Source organism: Homo sapiens, chromosome X (genome assembly GCF_000001405.40).
Source record: "Homo sapiens chromosome X, GRCh38.p14 Primary Assembly".
NCBI classification, from domain to species: domain Eukaryota; kingdom Metazoa; phylum Chordata; class Mammalia; order Primates; family Hominidae; genus Homo; species Homo sapiens.
The window spans coordinates 76,001,231-76,007,947 of NC_000023.11; the positions used below are offsets into that span (position 1 = coordinate 76,001,231).

Below are 6,717 nucleotides of genomic sequence, written 5' to 3' on the forward strand. Positions count from 1 at the left end.
TCTTATATATGGCTCTTATTATTTTAAGGTACATTCCTGCAACACTTAGTTTATTGAGAGTTTGTAACATGAATGGATGTTGAATTTTATCAAGAGCATTTTCTACATCTATAGAGAAAAAGATGAGTTTTTGTTTTCAATTGTTTATGTGATAAATCACATTTACTGATTTGTGTATTTTGAACAAACCTTGCATCCCAGGGATGAAGCCTACTTTATAATTGTAGATTAGATTTTTGATGTGCTGCTGGATTTGGTTTGCCAGTATCCTGTTGAGGATTTTTCCATTAGTGTTCACAAAGGATACTGGCATGAAGTTTTCTTTTTTTGTTGTGTCTTTGCCAGGTTTTGGTATAAGGATGACTCTGGCCTCATAGAATGAGTTAGGGAGATGTTTCTCTTTTTCAGTTTTTGGAAAAGTTTCAGTAGGAATGGTACCAGATCTTCTTTGTACATCTGGTAAAATGCAGCTGAGAAGCCATCTGATCATGGGTTTTTTTTTTTTGTTTGGTAAGCTAATTATTACCGCCTCAATTTCAAAATTCATTACTGGTCTCTTCAGGGATTCAGTTTCTTCTTGATTCAGTCTTGGGAGGGTGTATGTGTCCAGGAATCTATCCATTTCTTCTAGATTTTTTAGTTTATGTGCATAGAGGTGTTTATAATATTCTCTGATGATTGTATTTCTCTTGGGTCGCTGGTAACATCCCCCTTATAATTTCTGATTGTATTTGAATCTTCTCTCCTTTTTTCTTTATTAGTCTATCTAGCAGTCTATCTTTTTTATTATTTTTTTCAGAATAGCAGCTTCTGGATTTGATGATGTTTTGAATGTTTTTTCATGTCTATATCATTCAGTTCAGCTCTGATTTTGCTTATTTCGTTTCTTCTACTAGCTTTGGGCTTTGTTTGCTTTTGGTTTTCTAGTTTTTTTAGTTGTGATGTTAGATTGTTAACTTGAGATCTTTCTAGCTTTTGGTGTGGGCATTTAGTGCTATAAATTTCCCTCTTAACGCTGCCTTAGTGGTATCCCAGTGATTCTGGTACGTTTTACTTTTGTTCTCATTAGTTTCAAAGAACTTCTTGATTTCTACCTTAATTTCATTATTTACCCAAAAATCATTCAGGAGAAGTTGATTTAATTTCCATGAAATTGTATGGTTTTGAGTTAATTTCTTTGTTTTCAGTTCTAACTGGATTGTGCTGTGGCCTGAGAAACTGTTCATTATAATTTCAGTTCCTTTGCATTTGCTTAGGAATGTTTCACTTCTGAATATGTGATCAATTTCACAGAAAGTGTCATGCGGCACTGAAAAGAATGTATATTCTTTTGGTTTTGGGTGGAGAGTTCTATAGATATCTATCAGGTCCATTTGACCCAGTTCAGGTTCTGAATATTTTTGTTAGTTTTCTTTGTCAATGATTTAATATTGTCAGTGGGGTGTTAAAGTCTCCCACTGTGTGGGAGTCTAAGTCTCTTTGAAGGTCTCTAAGGATTTTCTTTATGAATCTGGGTGCTCCTGAGTTGGGTGCATGTATATTTAGGATAGTTAAGTCTTCCTGATAAATTGAACCCTTTATGTTGAATTGGAGCTCGTTTAATAGAACTCTGTTGACTTACCCCATTATGTAATGCCCTTCTTTGTCTTTTTTGATCTCTGTTGGTTTAAACTCCGTTTTGTTAGAAACCAGGATTGCAACACCTGATATTTTTTTCTGCTTTCCATTTGTTTGGTAAATTTTCCTCCATCCCTTTATTTTGAGCCTATGTGTGTCATCAAATGTGAGATGGGACTTTTGAAGACAACATGCCAATGGGTTTTGGTTCTTTTTTTTTTTTTTTTTATAAAACTATCTTTTTTCTTTTTTTTTTTTAATTATACTTTAAGTTTTAGGGTACATGTGCACATTGTGCAGGTTAGTTACATATGTATACATGTGCCATGCTGGTGTGCTGCACCCACTAACTCGTCATCTAGCATTAGGTATATCTCCCAATGCTATCCCTCCCCCCTCCCCCCTCCCCACCACAGTCCCCAGAGTGTGATATTCCCCTTCCTGTGTCCATGCGATCTCATTGTTCAATTCCCACCTGTGAGTGAGAATATGCGGTGTTTGGTTTTTTGTTCTTGCGATAGTTTACTGAGAATGATGGTTTCCAATTTCATCCATGTCCCTACAAAGGACATGAACTCATCATTTTTTATGGTTGCATAGTATTCCATGGTGTATATGTGCCACATTTTCTTAATCCAGTCTATCATTGTTGGACATTTGGGTTGGTTCCAAGTCTTTGCTATTGTGAATAATGCCGCAATAAACATACGTGTGCATGTGTCTTTATAGCAGCATGATTTATAGTCATTTGGGTATATACCCAGTAATGGGATGGCTGGGTCAAATGGTATTTCTAGTTCTAGATCCCTGAGGAATCGCCACACTGACTTCCACAAGGGTTGAACTAGTTTACATTCCCACCAACAGTGTAAAAGTGTTCCTATTTCTCCACATCCTCTCCAGCACCTGTTGTTTCCTGACTTTTTTATGATTGCCATTCTAACTGGTGTGAGATGATATCTCATAGTGGTTTTGATTTGCATTTCTCTGATGGCCAGTGATGATGAGCATTTTTTCATGTGTTTTTTGGCTGCATAAATGACTTCATTGAGAAGTGTCTGTTCATGTCCTTCGCCCACTTTTTGATGGGGTTGTTTGTTTTTTTCTTGTAAATTTGTTTGAGTTCATTGTAGATTCTGGATATTAGCCCTTTGTCAGATGAGTAGGTTGCGAAAATTGTCTCCCATGTTGTAGGTTGCCTGTTCACTCTGATGGTAGTTTCTTTTGTTGTGCAGAAGCTCTTTAGTTGAATTAGATCCCATTTGTCAATTTTGGCTTTTGTTGCCATTGCTTTTGGTGTTTTGGACATGAAGTCCTTGCCCATGCCTATGTCCTGAATGGTAATGCCTAGGTTTTCTTCTAGGGTTTTTATGGTTTTAGGTCTAACGTTTAAATCTTTAATCCATCTTGAATTGATTTTTGTATAAGGTGTAAGGAAGGGATCCAGTTTCAGCTTTCTACATATGGCTAGCCAGTTTTCCCAGCACCATTTATTAAATATGGAATCCTTTCCCCATTGCTTGTTTTTCTCAGGTTTGTCAAAGATCAGATAGTTGTAGGTAAGCGGCATTATTTCTGAGGGCTCTGTTCTGTTCCATTGATCTATATCTCTGTTTTGGTACCAGTACCATGCTGTTTTGGTAACTGTAGCCTTGTAGTATAGTTTGAAGTCAGGTAGTGTGATGCCTCCAGCTTTGTTCTTTTGGCTTAGGATTGATTTGGCGATGCGGGCTCTTTTTTGGTTCCATATGAACTTTAAAGTAGTTTTTTCCAATTCTGTGAAGAAAGTCATTGGTAGCTTGATGGGGATGGCATTGAATCTGTAAATTACCTTAGGCAGTATGGCCATTTTCACGATATTGATTCTTCCTACCCATGAGCATGGAATGTTCTTCCATTTGTTTGTATCCTCTTTTATTTCCTTGAGCAGTGGTTTGTAGTTCTCCTTGAAGAGGTCCTTCACATCCCTTGTAAGTTGGATTCCTAGGTATTTTATTCTCTTTGAAGCAATTGTGAATGGGAGTTGACTCATGATTTGGCTCTCTGTTTGTCTGTTGTTGGTGTATAAGAATGCTTGTGATTTTTGTACATTGATTTTGTATCCTGAGACTTTGCTGAAGTTGCTTATCAGCTTAAGGAGATTTTGGGCTGAGACGATGGGGTTTTCTAGATAAACAATCATGTCGTCTGCAAACAGGGACAATTTGACTTCCTCTTTTCCTAATTGAATACCCTTTATTTTCTTCTCCTGCCTGATTGCCCTGGCCAGAACTTCCAACACTATGTTGAATAGGAGCGGTGAGAGAGGGCATCCCTGTCTTGTTCCAGTTTTCAAAGGGAATGCTTCCAGTTTTTGCCCATTCAGTATGATATTGGCTGTGGGTTTGTACTTCCAACTATGTGGTCAATTTTGGAATAGGTGTGGTGAGGTGCTGAAAAAAATGTATATTCTGTTGATTTGGGGTGGAGAGTTCTGTAGATGTCTATTAGGTCCGCTTGGTGCAGAGCTGAGTTCAATTCCTGGGTATCCTTGTTGACTTTCTGTCTCATTGATCTGTCTAATGTTGACAGTGGGGTGTTAAAGTCTCCCATTATTAATGTGTGGGAGTCTAAGTCTCTTTGTAGGTCACTCAGGACTTGCTTTATGAATCTGGGTGCTCCTGCATTGGGTGCATATATATTTAGGATAGTTAGCTCCTCTTGTTGAATTGATCCCTTTACCATTATGTAATGGCCTTCTTTGTCTCTTTTGATCTTTGTTGGTTTAAAGTCTGTTTTATCAGAGACTAGGATTGCAACCCCTGCCTTTTTTTGTTTTCCATTTGCTTGGTAGATCTTCCTCCATCCTTGTATTTTGAGCCTATGTGTGTCTCTGCACGTGAGATGGGTTTCCTGAATACAGCACACTGGTGGGTCCTGACTCTTTATCCAACTTGCCAGTCTGTGTCTTTTAATTGGAGAATTTAGTCCATTTACATTTAAAGTTAATATTGTTATGTGTGATTTGATCCTGTCATTATGATGTTAGCTGGTGATTTTGCTCGTTAGTTGATGCAGTTTCTTCCTAGTCTGGATGCTCTTTACATTTTGGCATGATTTTGCAGCGGCTGGTACCGGTTGTTCCTTTCCATGTTTAGCGCTTCCTTCAGGAGCTCTTTTAGGGCAGGCCTGGTGGTGACAAAATCGGTCAGCATTTCCTTGTCCGTAAAGTATTTTATTTCTCCTTCACTTATGAAGCTTAGTTTGGCTGGATATGAAATTCTGGGTTGAAAATTCTTTTCTTTAAGAATGTTGAATATTGGCCCCCACTCTCTTCTGGCTTGTAGGGTTTCTGCCGAGAGATCCGCTGTTAGTCTGATGGGCTTCCCTTTGAGGGTAACCCGACCTTTCTCTCTGGCTGCCCTTAACATTTTTTCCTTCATTTCAACTTTGGTGAATCTGACCATTATGTGTCTTGGAGTTGCTCTTCTCGAGGAGTATCTTTGTGGCATTCTCTGTATTTCCTGAATCTGAACGTTGGCCTGCCTTGCTAGATTGGGGAAGTTCTCCTGGATAATATCCTGCAGAGTGTTTTCCAACTTGATTCCATTCTCTGCATCACTTTCAGGTACACCAATCAGACGTAGATTTGGTCTTTTCACATAGTCCCATATTTCTTGGAGGCTTTGCTCATTTCTTTTTATTCTTTTTTCTCTAAACTTCCCTTCTCGCTTCATTTCATTCATTTCATCTTCCATTGCTGATACCCTTTCTTCCAGTTGATCGCATCGGCTCCTGAGGCTTCTGCATTCTTCACGTAGTTCTCGAGCCTTGGTTTTCAGCTCCATCAGCTCCTTTAAGCACTTCTCTGTATTGGTTATTCTAGTTATACATTCTTCTAAATTTTTTTCAAAGTTTTCAACTTCTTTGCCTTTGGTTTGAATGTCCTCCCGTAGCTCAGAGTAATTTGATCGTCTGAAGCCTTCTTCTCTCAGCTCGTCAAAATCATTCTCCATCCAGCTTTGTTCCATTGCTGGTGAGGAACTGCGTTCCTTTGGAGGAGGAGAGGCGCTCTGCATTTTAGAGTTTCCAGTTTTTCTGTTCTGTTTTTTCCCCATCTTTGTGGTTTTATCTACTTTTGGTCTTTGATGATGGTGATGTACAGATGGGTTTTTGGTGTGGATGTCCTTTCTGTTTATTAGTTTTCCTTCTAACAGACAGGACCCTCAGCTGCAGGTCTGTTGGAATACCCTGCCGTGTGAGGTGTCAGTGTGCCCCTGCTGGGGGGTGCCTCCCAGTTAGGCTGCTCGGGGGTCAGGGGTCAGGGACCCACTTGAGGAGGCAGTCTGCCCGTTCTCAGATCTCCAGCTGCGTGCTGGGAGAACCACTGCTCTCTTCAAAGCTGTCAGACAGGGACATTTAAGTCTGCAGAGGTTACTGCTGTCTTTTTGTTTGTCTGTGCCCTGCCCCCAGAGTTGGAGCCTACAGAGGCAGGCAGGCCTCCTTGAGCTGTGGTGGGCTCCACCCAGTTCGAGCTTCCAGGCTGCTTTGTTTACCTAAGCAAGCCTGGGCAATGGCGGGCGCCCCTCCCCCAGCCTCGTTGCCGCCTTGCAGTTTGATCTCAGACTGCTGTGCTAGCAATCAGCGAGATTCCGTGGGCGTAGGACCCTCCGAGCCAGGTGTGGGATATAGTCTCGTGGTGCGCCGTTTTTTAAGCCGGTCTGAAAAGCGCAATATTCGGGTCGGAGTGACCCGATTTTCCAGGTGCGTCCGTCACCCCTTTCTTTGACTCGGAAAGGGAACTCCCTGACCCCTTGCGCTTCCCAGGTGAGGCAATGCCTCGCCCTGCTTCGGCTCGCGCACGGTGCGCGCACCCACTGGCCTGCACCCACTGTCTGGCACTCCCTAGTGAGATGAACCCGGTACCTCAGATTGAAATGTAGAAATCACCCGTCTTCTGCGTCGCTCACGCTGGGAGCTGTAGACGGGAGCTGTTCCTATTCGGCCATCTTGGCTCCTCCCCAGTCGGGTTTTGGTTCTTTATCGATCTTGCTGCTCTGTGTCTTTTAATTGGGGCATTTAGCTCATTTACATTTAATGTTAGCATTGTTATGTATGAAT

The 6,717-nt window shown here is 40.9% G+C and overlaps 1 annotated feature.

Moving 5' to 3' along the window:
• Positions 5,767-6,326: an enhancer, noted in NCBI's record as "NANOG-H3K27ac-H3K4me1 hESC enhancer chrX:75226832-75227391 (GRCh37/hg19 assembly coordinates)". NCBI's record gives its function as "activates a minimal SCP1, AML or CMV promoter by ChIP-STARR-seq in primed H9 embryonic stem cells {active_cell/tissue: H9 hESC(primed)}" and the evidence as "EXISTENCE:reporter gene assay evidence [ECO:0000049][PMID:30033119]".